The following is a 19,120-nucleotide window of genomic DNA, read 5'->3' on the forward strand; positions in this document are numbered from 1 at the left end:
ATGGAAATTAAGTAACCTGCTGAATGAGCATTGGGTCAAAAACGAAATCAAGATGAAAATTGAAAAATTCTTCCAACTGAATGACAGTAATGAAATTTCCTATCAAAACCTCTGGGATACAGCAAAGATGGTGCTAACGGGAAAGTTCATAGCCCTAAATGCCTACATCAAAAAATCTGAAAGAGCACAAACAGGCAATCTAAGGTCACACCTCAAGTAACTAGAAAAACAAGAGCAAACCAAACCCAAACCCAGCAGAAGGAAGGAAATAACCAAGATCAGAACAGAATTAAATGAAATTGAATCAAAAAAATGCAAAAGATAAATGAAACAAAAAGCTGGTTCTTTGAAAAGATAAATAAAATTGATAGATCATTAATAAGATTAACCAAGAAAAGAAGATAGAAAATCCAAATAATCTCACTAAGAAATGAAATGGGAGATATTACAACTGACGCCACTGAAATACAAAAGACATTCAAGGCTACTATGAACACCTTTATGCGCATAAACTAGAAAACCTAGAAGAGATGGATAAACTCCTGGAAAAATACAACCCTCCTACCTTAAATCAGCAAGAATTAGATCTCCAAACAGACCAATAACAAGCAATGAGATTGAAATGGTAATTTAAAAATTACCAGAAAAAAAAGTCCAGGACCACACAGATTCACAGCAGAATTCTACAAGACATTCAAAGAAGAATTGGTACCAATTCTATTGACACTATTCCACAAGATAGAGAAAGAAGGAACCCTCCCTAATTCATTCTATGAAGCCAGCATCACCCTAATACCAAAATCAGGAAAGGACATAACCAAAAAATAAAACTACAGACCAATATCCTTGATGAACATAGATGCTAAAATCCTTAACAAAATACTAGCTAACCAAATTCAACAACACATCAAAAAGATAATTCACCATGACCAGCTGGGTTTCATACCAGGGATGCAGGGATGGTTTAACATATGCAAACGTGATACAACACATAAACAGAATTAAAAACAAAAATCACATGATCATCTGAATACATGCAGAAAAAAGATTTGACAAAATCCAGCATCCCTTTATGATTAAAACTCTCAGCAAAATCAGCATAAAAGGGACATATCTTAATGTAATAACAGCCATCTATGACAAACCCACAGCCAACATAATACTGAATAAAGAAACGTTGAAAGCATTCCCTCTGAGAACTGGAACAAGACAAGGATGCCCACTCTCACCACTCCTCTTCAACATGGTACTGGAAGTGCTAGGCAGAGCAATCAGACAAGAGAAAGAAATAAAGGGCATCCAAATTGGTAAAGAGGAACTCGAACTGTCACTGTTTGCTGGCAATATGATAGTTTACCCTGAAAACCCTAGAAAGCTCCTAGAATTGATAAAAGAACTTAGCAGTTTCAGGATACAAGATTAATGTACACAACTCAGTAGTTCTTCTATACACCAAAAGCAACCAAGCAGAGAATCAAATCAAGAGCTCAACTCCTTTTACAATAGCTGCAAAAATAAAATAAAATACTTAGGAATATACCTAACCAAGGAGGTGACAGACCTCTATAAGGAAAACTACAAAACACTGCTGAATGAAATCACAGACAACACAAACAAATGGAAACACATCTCATGTTCATGGATGGGTAGAATCAATATTGTGAAAATAACCATACTGCCAAAAGCAATCTACAAATTCAATACAATCCCCATCAGAATACCAACATCATTCTTCCCAGAATTAGAAAAAACAATTCTAAAATTCATACAGAACCAAAAAAGAGTCCACATAGCCAAAGCAAGACTAAGCAAAAAGAACAAATCTGGAGGCATTACACTAGCTGATTTCAAACTATACTATAAGACCATAGTCACCAAAACAGTGTGGTACTGGTATAAAAATAGGCTCATAGATCAATGGAACAGAATAGAGAACCCAGAAATAAACCCAAATACTTACAACTAACTGATCTTCGACAAAGCAAACAAAAACATAAAGTGGGGAAAGGACATCCTTTTCAACAAATGGTGCTGGGATAATTGGCTAGCTACATGTAGGAGAATGAAACTGGATCCTCATCTCTCACCTTATACAAAAATCAACACAAGATGGATTAAGGGCTTAGACCTAAGACCTGAAACTATAAAAATTCTAGATGATAACACTAGAAAAACTGTTCTAGACATTGGCTTAGGCAAGGATTTCATGACCAAGAACACAAAAGCAAATGCAATAAAAACAAAGATAAATAGCTGGGACCTAATTAAAGACCTTTTGCATGGCAAAAGAAACAGTCAGCAGAGTAAACAGACAACCCACAACGTGAGAGAAAATCTTCACAATGTATACATCTGACAAAGGACTAATATCCAGAATCTGCAACGAACTCAAGCACATCAGTAAGAAAAAAACAAACAAACCCATCAAAAAGTGGGCTAAGGACATGAATACACAATTCTCAAAAGAAGATATACAAATGGCCAATAAACATATGAAAAAATGCTCAGTATCACTAATGATCTGGGAAATGCAAATCAAAACCACAGTGTGATACTACTTTACTCCTGCAAGAATGGCCATAATCAAAAAATAAAAAGAAACACTAAATGTTGGCATGGATATGGTGAACAGGAAAAACTTCCAGAAGGCAGGTGGGAATGCAAACTAGTACAGCCACTATGGAAAACAGTGTAGAGATTCCTTAAATAAATAAAAGTAGAACTATCATTTGATCCAGCAATCCCACTACTGGGTATCTAACCAGAGGAAAAGAAGGTATTATTCAAAAAAGACACTTGCACACACATGTTTATAGCAGCACAATTCACAATTGCAAAATCGTGGAACCAACCCAAATGCCCATCAATCAACAAGTAGATAAACTGTGATATATATATATACACACACACATGCACACACAAATCATATATATACACACATCATATATATACACACACATCATATATATACATCATATATATACCACATCATATATATATACATCATATGTATACCACATCATATATATATACACATCATTCATATATATACCACATCATATATATGGAATATATATATCATATATAATCATATATATGGAATACATATATCATATATATGGAATACATATATCATATACATGGAATACATATATCATATACATGGAATACATATCTCATATATTTATGGAATATATATATCATATATATATCATATATTGGCCATTTGTATATCTTCTTTTGAGAATTGTGTATTCATGTCCTTAGCCCACTTTTTGATGGGTTTGTTTTTTTCTTACTGATGTGCTTGAGTTTGTTGCAGATTCTGGATATTAGTCCTTTGTCAGATGTATACATTGTGAAGATTTTCTCTCACGTTGTGGGTTGTCTGTTTACGCTGCTGACTGTTTCTTTTGCCATGCAAAATTTCTTTAATTAGGTCCCAGCTATTTATCTTTGTTTTTATTGCATTTGCATTTGTATCATATATGATATATATATGATATATATATCCCATATATATGTTATATCATATATATGGGATATATCATATATATGGGATATATGGGATATATATATCATATATATCATATATATGGGATATATATATCATATATATCATATATATGGGATATATATATCATATATCCCATATATATGGGATATATATATCATATATATCATATATATGGGATATATATATGATATATATATCATATATATGGGATATATATCATATATATGGGATATATATATGATATATATATCATATATATGGGATATATATCATATATATGGAATATAGATATCATATATATGGAATATATATATCATATATATATGGAATATAGATATCATACATATGGAATATATATATCATATATATATGGAATATATATATCATATATATATATGATGGAATACTACACGGCCATAAAAAGGAATGAATTAACAGCATTTGCAGTGACCTGGATGAGACTAGAGACTATTATTCTAAGTGATGTAACTCAGGAATGGAAAACCAAATATTGTATGTTCTCACTGATGTGTGGGAGCTAAGCTATGAGGACACAAAGGCATAAGAATGACACAATGAACTTTGGGGACTTGTGGGGAAGAGTGGAAGGAGGGCAAGGGATAGAAGACTACAAATACGGTGCAGTGTATACTGCTCGGGTGATGGGTGAACCAAAATCTCACAAATCACCACTAAAGAACTTACTCAGGTAACCAAATACCACCTGTACCTCAATAAGTTATGAAAAAATAAAATTTAAAAAATAAATTAAAAAAATAGACTCTAAGCACTGTCCAGAATTCCCACAACTATTTCATTCTCACTTCAAACCTCCAAAATCCTCTCTTCCACTCTACTCTCAGCTGCTGACTTTACCTCTTATGTCACTGAAAAAATAGAAGTTTTCAGAAGAGAAAAATCTTTACACACCAAATCTTTGAGCCTATCTATATTTTTGTCTGCCTTCCTTCCCATTGCAGTGGATGAACTATATGTTTTGCTTTTAAACTTTTCTTTTTTTTGAGACGGACTCTCGCTCTGTCATGCCAGGCTGGCACAATCTTGGCTCAGTGAAACCTCCGCCTCCCAGGTTCAAGGGATTCTCCTGCCTCAGCAGGATTACAGGTGCCTGCCGCCACTCCAGGCTAATTTTTTGTATTTTTAGTAGAGATGAGGTTTTACCATGTTGGCCAGGCTGGTCTCAAACTCCTGACCTCAAGTGATCCACCCACCTTGGCTTCCCAAAGTGCTGGGATTACAGGCATGAGCCACTGCGCCCGGCTCTACACATTTTTAAGGTGTCACTGAAAACTTTTTATCATGAGTTTAAATAGCTGTGAATATTGTCCTTTCAAGTATATGATCCTTAAAATAAAACTTTCACAGTACTCTTTGAAGTATATCCATCACTGCTTAAGATATATCCAATAGAAGGCTGGGTGTGGTGGCTCACACCTGTAATCCCAGCACTTTGGGAGGCTGAGGTGGGCAGATCACGAGGTCAGGAGTTTGAGACCAGCCTGGCCAACATGGTGAAACCCCATCTCTACTAAAAAATATAAAAAATTAGCCGGGTATGGTGGCAGGCACCTATAATCCCAGCTACTCGGGAGGCTGAGGTAGGAGAACTGCTTGAACCTGGGAGGTGGAGATTGCAGGGAGCCGAGATCATGCCACTGCACTCCAGCCTAGATGACAGAGCGAGACTCCATCTCAGAAAAAGGGATATATCCAATAGAATCTACATACCACAGAGATTTAATGACCAATTTAAAATATAAACAAGCTTTTTTAAAATAAAAATGTTAATCTGTTTTCTATTTGAGTTCATATTTCCACGCCACTTCCCTCACAGAATCTTATCCTAATGTAATATACTTGAAAAACTTTTGTTGATCCTTTTATATTTGTTATAAAAATATGAATAAAAATTTAAATTAAAAAATTTATTTCCTTTGTCTCTAAGTATTAAAAATTCTGTTCTAGATTGAGTTAATCTTATTTTCAGTACACAACTGAATAAAGTAACATATTATAAATTTTGATAACTAAATGTTAAACATAAAAACTAAAATTTTCCTGGATGTACATCTCTTGATGAAATGTTGGGCTTTTTCTTTTTTCTGGTTAGCTCATAATCCATGGATAAATGCTAGCTAGTGCTGAATGAAACAGAAATTCAGATTAATTCTATTTTTATTTTTTAATTTTTATAAATATGTGAGAGAGAAACCTGGTTTATATTTAAAAATCAATCAGAATAGGTTATAGTAACATCATGCAATTCTTTGAATTCCTTCACCTCCTATGCCAAAAATTATATGCTGATTTACAATAAAAATTACCCCTACAGATAATCTCTGACTTTTGTGATCATTTCCTTGTTTTTCTTTATAGTTTTCTAACGTATATATATGAAAAATATAGATTTTTGAACTTTCCATAAATTTAATGACTTTATGTATATTATTGTGATTTGCTTTTTTTAATTGTGACAAAGTATACATAACATAAAATTTACCATTTTAACCATTTTCTTTTTTTTTTTTTTTTTTTGAGATGGAGTCTCACTCTGTCACCCAGGTTGGAGTGCAGTGGTGCGATCTCGGCTCACTACAACCTCCACCTCCCAGGTTCAAGCAATTCTCCTGCCTCAACCTCCTGAGTAGCTGGGATTACAGGTGCCCACCACCCTGCCTGGCTAATTTTTGTATTTTTAGTAGAGGTGGGGTTTCTCCATGTTGGCCAGGCTGGTATTGAACTCCTGACCTCAAGTGATTCACCTGCCTTGGCCTCCCAAAGTTCTGGGATTACAGGTGTGACCCACCTTGCCCAGTCATTTTAACCATTTTCAAGTGTGCAATTCAGTGGCTTTAAACACATGCACACTGATGTACAATCATCACAATCCACCTCCAGAACTTTTTCAGCATCCCAAACTGAAACCCTGTATACCATTAAACAATAGCTCCCCATTGCCCCTAGCCCTGTCACTCACCATTCTACTTTGTCTATATGAGTTTGACTACTCTAGATATCTAAGTGGAAAAATACAATATTTGCCCTCATTTGTGATTTACTTCTTTAGATATACATTATGGTTTGCAAAATTCATTCATGTTGATGGACATTGCTATGGCTGTATATTTTCACTGCTGAATAGTAATCCATTGATTTATTTATCCTTTTTCTATTGCTAGACATTGGATTGTTTCTGGTTTCTTACTATCATTAATGCTGCTATAAACCTTTGAATATATCTATCCTGGTGTCCGTCTGCAAGGGGTTTTCTGTTGTATGTCCCTAGAAATAAAACTGATGGGTACGTACATTTTCAACTTTACTAAAGATGAACTGTCCAAAGTAGTTATTCTAATTTACACCTCCACAATCATTATTTCAAATTTACACTCCCACAATTATTATCCAAGTCAATATTTGCTAATTTCAGCACTTTTGCTCATCTAAAAGGTGTTAAAAAATACAGACATCTTTATCAGACTAAGAAAGTGCGCTGTAACCTATCAAATGGTAAAGTGCATTAAATGCATTTCTAATTCAATCTAATTGTATTTATTTAATTTCTCATATTAAACCAACTCTCCCTTCCTGGGATAAACTGAATTGTGTCATGATTTATTATCATCTTCCAGATTGAGCCTGGTAACATTTTGTTTAGGATTTTTGTATTTGTGTCATGAATGCACTTCCATTTTCCTTTCTCATAATATCTTCAGATTATCCATTTAACTCAAAATGACTTAAGGAGTGTTCCCCCTTTTGTCATGCTCTAGAAGAATCTGTATTAAGTGTGAAATTATTTCTTTACCTCTGAATGAAAAACTAGCATATAAAGACTTATGGACCTAGAATTTTCTTTCTGGGAATATTTATAACCACTGATTTAATTTCTTAAATGATTATAGGACTATTCAGGTTTTCTACTTCTTCATGAAAACAGTTTAATTTTTTTCTGGCTATTTGTCTAATTCATCTAAGTTTTCTAATATATTGGCATAAAAAGTTGCTCAAATAATGTCATTTATTGTTAAAGTCATGTCTCCCTTTTCATTCTTAATATTTATCATTTATGCCTTTTGTTCTTCTTGACATATCAGATAATTGTCAATTTTATCAGTTTTCAAAGAAATCTACTGTGACTTGTTCATTTATTTAATAAATACTGAGAGGCTAACATGTGCCTCTTATTTGAGATATAAAAGTAAACAAAAATCCTTGCACTTACAATTCAAATGTAAACAGGAAGGCAAAAACAATATACTAAAATTTAAAATAAATTATACAATATTTTAAGGAGTGATAAGTGATATGGAAGAAAGTAGGGGGACTCCAGATGGCTGGTGTAGTTGTGAAAGGGACGAAATCACAATTCTAAATACAGTGGTTTGGATTGGCCTCATGGAGAAGGCGGCATTTAAGTGAAGACTTGAAGGATATGAGGTTACTGACCCACTCTATTCTGTGTTTTCTATTAATGTCCATATTTGTTCTTATTATTTCCTTTCTTCTCCTTCCTTCTATATTTGTTCTTATTATTTCCTTCCTTCTCCTTTGGGTTTTATTCTTTTTCTGAATTCTTGAGAAGGATACCTAGGATCATTAATTTTTAGCCTTTTTTCTTCTTCTAATATAAATATTTAGGTCTACATATTTCCCTCTAAGTATTGCTTTACATACATTCCACAAATTTTTAAGTATTTTCCTTAACAATAAGTTTAAAATATTTTCTAATTTCCATTATATTACTTCTTGACCCATTTTAGAATGTTTTAAAAATTCCAAGCATATTGTACCTTCCTGTTTGCTACTGAATTATTTTTACCTTCAATATAATATTCATTATGATACATTCTCTGAATTGTTTTCATGCACTGAACTTTGAGAATAGTTTTGTATCATAGTATACTAGCAATTTTGGGGGAAAATGTTTGCGTGCTTAGAATCCTCTACTTGTTTGGTGTGGTGTTCTAAATATGTTTAATTCATTAGGTTTGTTTATCATGTTGCTCCAATCTTCTAAATCCTTACTGATTTTTTAAACATTATTCTATTAATTATTGAAAGAGAAAATCTTCCACTATGATTGTGGATGTGTCTATTTGTGGATGTGTCTATTTCTCCTTGTAGTTCCCTGAATTTGTGCATTGTATATTTCAAGGCTTTGTAAGTAGGTATACACAAATTTAAAATTAGATTTCCTTGGCTAATCAAGTCTTTATCATCATGCAAGGATGGTTCAACATACACAAATCAATAAATGTGATTTACCACATAAGCAGAATTAAAAACAAAAACCATATGATCATCCCAATAGACACAGAAAACCCTTTTGATAAAATCCAATATCCTTTCATGATTAAAAAAAAAAACCCTCAAAAAACTAGGTATCAAATGAACATATCTCAAACTAGTAAGAACCATCTATGTATGACAAACCCACAGCCAACATCATACTGAATAGGCAAAAGCTGAAAGCATTCCCCCTAAGAACTGGAACATGAAAAGGGTGTCCACTCTCATCATTCCTATTCAATAGTACTGGAAATCCTAGCCATACCAATCAGTCAAGAGAAAGCAATAAAAGGCATCCAAATAGGAAAAGAGAAAGTCAAATTATCTTTGTTCACTGACAACATGATCCTATGCCTAGAAAACGGTAAAGATTCCTCCAAATACCTCCTGGACCTGATAAACGACTTCAGTAAAGTTTCAGGATACAACATGCAAAAACAAGTAGCATTTCTACACACCAACAACGTTTAAGCTGAGAAGCAAATCAAGAACTCAATCCCATTTACAACAGTCATGCACACAAAAATAAAATATCTAGAAATATATTTAACCAAGGAGGTGAAATATCTCTACAAAGAGAACTACAAAACACTGCTGAAAGAAATCACAGATGGCACAAACAAATGGAAAAATAATCCATGCTCACGGATTAGAAGAATCAGTATCACTAAAATGATCACACTGCCCAAAGCAATCTACAGATTCAATGCAATTCCTATCAAATTACCAACGTTATTTTTCACAGAACTAGAAAAAACAATTCTAAAATGTATATGAAACCAAAAAAGAGCCCACACAGCCAAGGCAATCCTAAGCAAAAAGAAGAAAGCTGGAGCCATCACGTTACCAAACTTCAAAACTATACTACAGGCTGTAGCAACCAAAATAACATGGTATTGGTATAAAAATAGATCAATGGAACACAATAGAGAACCCAGAAATAAAGCCATACACCTACAACCAACTGATCTTCAACAAAGTTAGCAAAAATAAACAAACAATGGGGAAAGGACACTGGGTTCAATAAATGATGCTAGGAAAACTGGCTAGCCACTTGCAGAAGAATGAAACTGGACCCCTAACTCTTAACATATATAAAAATTAACTCAAGATGGATTAAAGACTTAAATATAAGACCTCAAACTATAATTTTTTTTTTCACTCTTGTCGCCCAGGCTGGAGTGTGTGGTGCAATCTCGGCTCACTGCAACCTCTGCCTCCCGGGTTCAAGAGATTCTCCTGCTTCAGCCTCCTGAGTAGCTGGGATTACAGGCGCCTGCCACCACGATCGGCTAATTTTTTGTATTTTTAGTAGACACGGGGTTTCGCCATGTTGGGCAGGCTGATCTCGAACTCCTGACCTCAGATGATCCGCCTGCCTTGGCCTCCCAAAGTGCTGGGACTATAGGCATGAGCCATCGTGCCCGGCCTATAATTTTTTTTAAGAGACAGAGTCTCGCTTTGTCATTCAGGAAAGAATGGGAGTGCAGTGGTGCAATCATAGCTTACTGTAATCTCAAACTCCTGGGCTCACGCAATTCTCCCACCTCAGCCTCAGGAGTAGCTAGAATTACAGATGCATGCCACTGCATCTGGCTAATTTTTTATTTTCATTTTTTGCAGAGGTGGGGGGGTCTCACTATGTTTCCCAGGTTGGTCTTGAACTCCCGGCCTCAAGCAATCCTTCTGCTTCAGCCTCCCAAAGTGTTGGGATTACAGGTGTGCACTATTGCATCCAGCCAAGACCTCAAACTATAAAAACCCTAAAAGAAAACCAGGAAAAACTCTTCTGGGCATTGGCCTAGGCAAATAATTTATAACTAAGACCTTAAAAGCAATTGCAACAAAAACAAAAATTGATGAATGGGACTTAATTAAACTAAAGAGCTTCTGCATAGCAAAAGAAACAACACAGTCAACAGACAACCTACAAAACAGGAGAAAATATTTTCAAACTATGCATCTGACAAAGGACAAATACCCAGAATCGATAAGGAACTTAATAAGAAAAAAAAAGCCCCATTAAAAAGTGGGGAAAGGACATGAACAGATACTTCTCAAAAGAGGACATATAAGTGGCAACACACATGAACAAATGCTCAAGATCACTAATCAGATAAATTTCAATTAAAACCACAGTGAGATATCATCTCACACTAGTCAGAATGTCTACTATTAAAAAATTAAAAAAAGGGACATGTTGGTGAGGATGCAGAAAAAAGGGAACTGTTGGTATGAATGTAAATTAGTTCAACCCCTATTGAAAACAATATGAAGATTTATTAAAGAATTTAAAATAAACCTACCATTCAACCCAGCAATCCCACTACTGGGTATCTGCTGAAAAGAAAAGAAATTTTTTTTTTTTTTTTCAAAGAGACACCTGTAGGCTGGGCGCGGTGGCTCACGCCTGTAATTCCAGCACTTTGGGAGGCCGAGGCGGGCAGATCACCTGAGGTTGGGAGGTTGAGATCAGCCTGACCAACACGGAGAAACCCCATCTCTACTAAAAATACAACATTAGCCGGGCATGGTGGTACATGCCTGTAATCCCAGCTACTCGGGAGGCTGAGGCAGGAGAATCACTTGAACCTGGGGGGCGGAGGTTGCAGTGAGCCGAGATCGCACCATTGCACTCCAGCCTGGGCAACAAGAGCGAAACTTCATCTCAAAAAAAAAAAAAAAAAAAGACACCTGTACTAGTATTTTATTGTAGTACTAGTCACAACAACAAAATCATGGAATCAACCTAATTAACCTAATCAACAGTGGATTGGATAAAGAAAATGTAGGGTGTGGTAGCACACACCTATAGTCCCAGCTACTCAGGCTGAGGTGGGAGGATTGCTTGAGCCTGGGAGGTCGAGGCTGCAGTGAGCTGTGATCGTGCCACAGCACTGCAGCCAGAGTGATAGAGTGAGACTGTCTACACACACACACACACACACACACACACACACAAGCCAGATGTGGTGGCTCTCATGCCTGTAATCTCAGTGCTTTCGGAGGCCCTGGTAAGAGGATCACCTGAGCCCCAAAGTTTAAGACCAGCCTGGGCAACATAGAATGATCTCATCTCTAAAAAAAATTTTTTTAATTAGCTAGATGTGGTGGCACACGTCTGTGGTCCCAGCTACCTGAGAGGCTGAGGTGGGAGGATCGCTTGAGCTCAGGAAGTCAAGCCCGCTGTAAGCCAAGATCATGCCACTGCACTTCAGCCCAGGAAATGAAGTGAAAAGAAGAAAGGAAAGAAAGGAATGAAAGGAAGGGAGGAAGGGAGGAAGGGAGGAAGGGAGGAAGGGAAGGAGAGAAGGAGAGAAAGAAAGAAAGGAAGGAAAGAAGGAAAATGAGGTACATATACATCATAGCATACTACACAGCCATAAAAAGAATGAAATTATGTCCTTTGCAGCAACATGGATACAGTTGGAGGCCATTACCCTAAGTGAATTAAAGCAGAAACAGAAAATCAAATACTAAATGTTCTCACTTATAAGTACAATGGGTACACATGGTCATAAGGGTAGAAACAATAGACACTGGGGACTCTAAAAGAGGGGAGGGAGCGGGGACAAGGGTTGAAAAACTACGTATTGGGACTAAGTTCACTATTTGAGCAATGGTTTCACCAGAAGCCAAAATCCCAGCATCATCCAATATCCCCATGTAACAAACCTGTACGTGGGTATATTGGGTAATGCTGGGATTTGGGCTTCTGCTGAAACCAATGCTCAAAACAAAACAAATAAACAAAAATCCTGATCACCACAAAATGTCCCTCTTTATTTCTAGAAGTGCTTTTTGTCTTAAAGTCTATTGTGTCTAATATTAATACAGCTATATAAGCTTTTGTTTTTCTAGTAATTTGTATAGTATGACTTTTTCCATCATTTCACTTCCAACTTTTCTGTATTTAAATTTTTTTTTTTAATTTTTTACTTTTTGTAGAGATGGGGTCTATGTTGTCCAGGCTGGTCTCAAACCCATGGACTCAAGCGATCCTTCTGCCTCAGTCTCCCATATTGCTGGAATCTTTATTCTTAAGGTGGCTGTTTGTAAGAAGATTACTGTTGGATTTTATTCTTTATTATTGACAATCTTTCACTTTTAACAAGAGTAATAGATCCATTTATATTCCATGTATTTACTGATATATTTGGGCTTAAATATACTATCTTACTTTTGAGTGTTATTCTGTATTATTTCTTGGTAACTTTTCAACTGATTTTTTTTTATTATTCCACTATGTTCTCTCTACCAGTTGAGAAGTTATATACTGTGTAATTTTAATGGCTACTACAGAAAGTCAACAAATATGCCTTCTATATCCAGACCTGTATCCTCTTTCCCAAGGACTTTAGAATGTCTTAACTCAATCTGTCCTTCCCCTACCAAATTATGGATTAGTATTATCATGCATGTTTTTAACAATAGTTTTATTGAGATATAATTCACATACCATGTAATTCACCCATATAAAGTGCACAATTTAATGGTTTTTAGTATATTCACAGAGTTGTGTAACCATCACCACAATCAATTTTAGAACATTTTTCATCACCCCGAAATAGAAATCTTATACTCATTAGTAGTTACTCTCCACTTCTTCCAAATACCTAGCTCATGGAAACTATGAATCTACTTTCTGTCTCTGTAGATTTGCCTCTTCTGGACACTTCATATAACTGTAATCATGTAAAATGTGGTCTTTTGTGACTGGCTTCTTCCATTTAGCATGCTTTCGAGGTTCATCCATGCTATATCATGCATCAGTACTTCCTTCTTATGCCCAAATAATATTCCAATGCATAGATATACCAAATTTTGTTTATTGATTAATCAACTGATGAACATCTGGGTTGTTTGTTGTCATGTATCTTAGTTTAATTACTGTTAAACCCACATGTTTTTTATTATGGTTTTTGTTTTATACTGTACAGACATAATCTGTTTTGCAGGTGGCAAACTCAGTTTTGGTTTGTAAGAAAATGTTTTTATTCCACCTTTATTTTTGAAAACTTATTTTAGCTGGTACAGAATTCTAAGTTGGCAGCTATTTTCTTTCAGCACATTGAAGACATCATTCCACTGTCTGGCTTTCATTTTTGCTATGAAGACCAAAGCTCAAGTTCTGCCCAGCTCTGCAAATACCCTCATGATAAAAATTGCTTTGGACTGGGCATGGTGACTCATGCCTGCAATTCCAGCACTTCGGGAGGTCAAAGCAGAATTGCTTGAGCCCAGGAGTTTGAGACCACCCTGGACAACACAGTGGGATCCCATCTCTATAAAAAAAAAAAAAAAAAGAAAGAAAAAGAAATTCCCAGGCATGGTAGCACATGGTTGTAGTCTCAGGAGGCTGAGGTGGGAGGATCACTTGAGCCTGGGAGGTTGAGGCTACAGTTAGCTGTAATTACACCACTGTACTCCAGCCTGGGTGACACAGCAAGATCCTGTCTCTAAAATAAAATAAAATAAACAAAAAACAAAAACAGTTGTAGTGCTTCCATTACTTCTTTGGTTTATGTCTTCACTCAGGTTTTTTCCTGATAATTTCTTCCTGTATTATTGCCTCTTAAATGTTTTTAAGATGATAGCTTTGATCTATCTGTATACATTGTAGTGAGCACTATTTATTGTTTTTAGCAGAAATGGCAGTCCCAAAAATCTTAAGCCTCAAATTAATGAAATCAGAAAGATCAAAATATTATTTCTGATAATTTTTTTATCATATCACTTTCACCAAAATCTTAAAGCTGCAGATTTAGCTCATTTGAAGTATAAAAAATGTCTACCATTTACCTAATTGGCAAAACTGTTTTCGAACTTAAACTAAATGGCCATATTAGACTTACTTTCTATCAGACAGTCTGACTTCATTTTTTGGTACAAATAAATATGTTGATATGCATGTTCATGGCAACCTATCTCATTTTTCATTATAAGCCAGATGTAAATTGATTTAATTCCCTCATATATTGTTTTTAAAAGATGCAATTTTAATGTCCTGAACTCAATACCATTTATATTTTAGTGTCAGCACTGAATGTTCCATGAAAACCAGGACTCACTCTTTGGCCACTGAAGCCTGTTTGTGATGACAGTGTTCCTAAATGAAAATAGAATTTAAAGTACAGACTATAGCAATAAGCACCCCCCTTTTGCCCATTCATTACAGTCCCATTCCTGGGGGTAGTTGAGCATGATTTCAATCAAATAAAATACAATCAATTCAAATAAAGTATTAAAAGTTTTGTAAAATCTCTTCACAGTTGTATTCCTAAACAGTAATTTGAACATCAAATTTGTATTAATAATGCCATTTTCTTCATTGGAAGAAAAGTCATAAATTATTAACTGAGACTAACTGGAATCATCTATATATTCATCAATTTGTAAGGCAATTCTTCTCATAGTCTAATCACTGTTTTCTGTATTTCATGTATTCTGTGAAGTACAGTGGTTTCTGATAAAAATATATTAATATAAATGTAGTGATGGGTTTTTTAACAGTACATCAGGTATCATAACCTTTTCTATAGTCTTACGCAATTTTCTAACTTTTGCAATGAACAATATTAATTTAAATTACGTGAAGTTTCAAAAGGCAACTTTGAAATCTGCGTAAAAATATTACACTCACATTTTTACTAATACACTAATCTTTCTTCATTAAAAAATTAATTACATTATCTTTGTAGTCTGGTACCAAAACATTATTATCAAATGATAGTACCAAAAAAATCTCTCACAATGTAACTTGATACACTCTTTGGTACCATAATTTGATAATAATCTCATGGGCAATGTAACTAAACAAAAATGATCACCACTTCACACTACCATGTGTATAAATTCACAATATCTCAGTACTTCTAATGACACATTTCACCACTTCCAAAAAGACAGGTAAGGCAGACAAAAACAGGAAGTCCTTAGTGTCTGATGTTAGCTTTGCCAACATCAATGTTTCGAATTGTCTAAAGGTTTCACATCCCAGTCCCAAGGGCAAAGAATCACAGAATGGGAGTAGATAACAGATAAGCTTTACTTTGTAAGAAGGGTGATTGTGACAGAGGAGGATGCAATGGTAAAAAGGCAGGGTTTTTTTTTTAATGTATGACTACATTTTCTCAGGAAAAGGTAAATATGGAAGTCAATCATCTGAAGATTGATTTCCATAAGACTGTGTCCTTGTATCCTTAGAAAACCTTTGTACACCTGTCAGAGTATGATTTACTTCTCAGTTTGAAGACTTCTAACCTACACTGCTGTGATGGATTCCTAAAGGGTACCCCTACTTTTACCCTTGTGTCCCCCTACAGTGAATTTTCCACATGGCAATCAAAGTGATCTTTTAAAAATGTAAATCAGATCATGCCACTTTTCTGTTTACAACTTTCCCAGGCTGCCCATCACACTCACAATAAAACCCAAATACTTTACCATGGCTTACTTGGCCATGAACTACAAACCGGCTCCTGATTAACCACGGTCTCCATGCCGTGTTTTTATCTTTCACTTTCTACCTCACTGTCTGTTCTAACCACACTGGCATTTCACCAAGGTCATTCTAAACTATGTCTGTTTCTCCTGCTTAATATACTCATTCCCCCAGGTAATTACTAACCTACTCCCTTGCTTCATCCAGGTCTCTTCTTAAATTTTACTTCCTTAATCATATTATATGAAATAGCATCATCATCAGCCCTACCCCACATTTTTTCATGACCTCTTAGTTTCTATGTATTAAAAGCTACCTGAAATTATATTATTTATATTCCTGTCTCACTTCCCACCCTCAAGTTGAATGTAAGCTTCATGAAGGCAGGAACTTGGTCTTGCTGCTGTTCACTTAATGCCTTGAACACTGCTAAATCAATGAAATAAATATTCTTCCATGTTTGCAAGAACTTATATATAAGGATCTTCATTCCTGCCTTGATTGTGATAGCAAAAAATAGGGCCAACATAAAAATCATGTAGCATACTTTCAATGAGATATGATGCAGCCATGAAAAAGAGTGAGGTAATTTCAATACGCCAAAACAAAAAGGTCCCCAAGGTATACTTACTCCATTGAACCTAAGATGTCATCAGATGTAAGATGTATTTATTATGTCCCAAAAAAGGAAATAATGCCTAAGATGGCAGTTAAAGGCGATACCTGTATAAAACTGGATATAGGGAAAGACAAACAATCCCACAACACAGTAATGCAGAGCAAAAAAAAAAGAAGGCTTGCATATGTCAACTCTGACACTGGTAGAAGGAAGAAAAAAAATTCCTGAGAATTTAAACCACAAGCCGGTTCATGTGGATTTGCAGTCTGACTCATACCATTGGTGTGGTCCAAAACCCTCAAGCATAGAATTTAAGTAGTACCAGACTGGTAATAAGCCCAACTGACAGATAGAAGCAAACATCTTCTGTTGAAGAAGTGGATGTCAATCCAGGACTACAATGATTGTAAGATACTATTATAAGACACATCTCAATTTCAGTAATGTTAAAATGTAAAAAGATTAGTATCCTATAATTAATAAAATATTGTTAAGTGAAAAACAGAAGGTGCAGAATGCTCCCATAGGCAGGGAGAAAAGGGGTCTCTGTGTGTGTACATATGTGCGCCCTTTAATGTTTAGAAAATTTATGAAAAGATGTACAGTGGTTCTAGGAAGGCAGATCAAATGTCTTGGGTTGAAGAAAAGTTTCAATTTTTTAATGCTATTTTAATTTTGTACCATGTGTGTTCATTAATTTTCCCTTAAGAAAACTTTAAAAAACCAGAAAGTATAAAATATATCCTTCAATGTTTTCCTACCTACACTGTAAATTCCCTTTACAGAACACCTCATCTCCAAACTGCAATATTTAAAAGTGAAATAATTAAAAAGTAAGTGATTTCTTTACTTGAACCCGGGAGGCGAAGGTTGCAGTAAGCCAAGATTGTGCCACTGCACTCCAGCCTTGGCAACAGAGCAAGACTCTGTCTCAAAAAAAAAAAAAAAAAAAAAAAGTAAGCGATTTCTTCTCTGGGTTTGGTTTCAAATTTCATAGGAAGAATCTCACCATTCTTTCAGAGAAACAATACTATCAACGTAATAGCCCACCCATGTATATCATGAAGTACCAAGGTAATTTAAAACAATGAGTTTTCGGATTTAAAATGATGCCTCTAAGATTTCATAGTCTAAAGCACAAAATGAATGTCCACACAAATCAATGAATGATTACAGAGACACACAGGCCCTCCAGAATGCTTGAATGCTTCCAGAGCCTTCATAAATTTTGTTCAGTTATATCCACAGTTTCTAAAAGAATATCAGGTTGGTCATGGGTCCAAGTGACTGACAGAAGCAAACAAAGAAGGCACTCAATGGTATTTCTTGAAGAAATGTTTAACTGTATAAATACTGAATACACTGTATATAAACATTTCCTGGAAAGAGCCCAAGTGTTTTTAAGGGTGGTAGATTAAATGGGGTTTCGCATATTCATTCAACAAATATTGAATGAATTTCTACTATGTGCCAGGCACTGTGCTAAACATTATGGATGTAAAAATATGACACGCTCCTGACCATGAAAAGCTCACCATTATAAATAATTACAATAAAATGATAAAGGGTTATAATTGAGGTATGCACGAATGCATGTGCTATGAAAACACAGAGTATAAGCCAGGCGCAGTGACTCATGCCTGTAATCCTAGCACTCTGGGAGGCTGAGGCCGGCAGATCACTTGAGGTCAAGAGTTCGAGACCAGCCTGGCCAACAAAGTGAAACCCTGTCTCTACCAAAAAATACAAAAATTAGACAGGCATGGTGGCGCGTGCCTGTAATCCCAGCTAATCAAGAGGCTGAGGTGGGAGAATTGCTTGAACCCGGAAGGTGGAAGTTGCAGTAAGCCAAGACCATGCCACTGCACTCCAGCCTGGGTGTCAGAGTGAGACCCTGTCTCTAAAATACAAAACAAAACAAAACCAAGAAAATACAGAGTATAATTGATCTGTAAAAGGGAACAATGGGAAAATTTACAGAGAAGTGACATTTGAGATATGCCTTAAAGCAGGCATTCCAGACCCAAATCCCTGTTGGGACCAAGCAGGTAAATAAACTAAGAGGTTTGGTTATGGTCAAGACTATGGCAAATCAAAGATTTTATGCATTCCTAAAAGGGGTAGCTGTTATTCAGCCCAGCCAATTGTTGCCTTACAGGACTATTTAGGCCCAATGTTATCAGGTTTCCAATTTCTTAAGAATAGATGGAAATCAGATTGTTGCATA

General features: G+C 35.5%; 1 protein-coding gene across 30 annotated transcripts in view; it reads right to left on the reverse strand.

The window, feature by feature from the left end:
- Positions 1 to 19,120, reverse strand: part of DNAI7 (dynein axonemal intermediate chain 7) — an 88,114-nt gene that overhangs the window by 63,801 nt on the left and 5,193 nt on the right. For 3 of the 30 annotated variants that reach the window (XM_047429075.1, XM_047429074.1, XM_047429077.1), the window contains exon 3: positions 12,770 to 12,879. The exons of 26 other annotated variants lie outside the window; for them this stretch is intronic. The gene's annotated coding sequence lies outside the window, so the exon portion shown is untranslated. Of the gene's footprint in view, positions 1 to 12,769; positions 12,880 to 14,901; positions 14,940 to 19,120 lie in introns of all 30 variants that reach the window. One more of the 30 variants, NM_001204102.3, reaches the window with a different exon arrangement.

Source organism: Homo sapiens, chromosome 12 (genome assembly GCF_000001405.40).
Source record: "Homo sapiens chromosome 12, GRCh38.p14 Primary Assembly".
Lineage (NCBI taxonomy): Eukaryota > Metazoa > Chordata > Mammalia > Primates > Hominidae > Homo > Homo sapiens.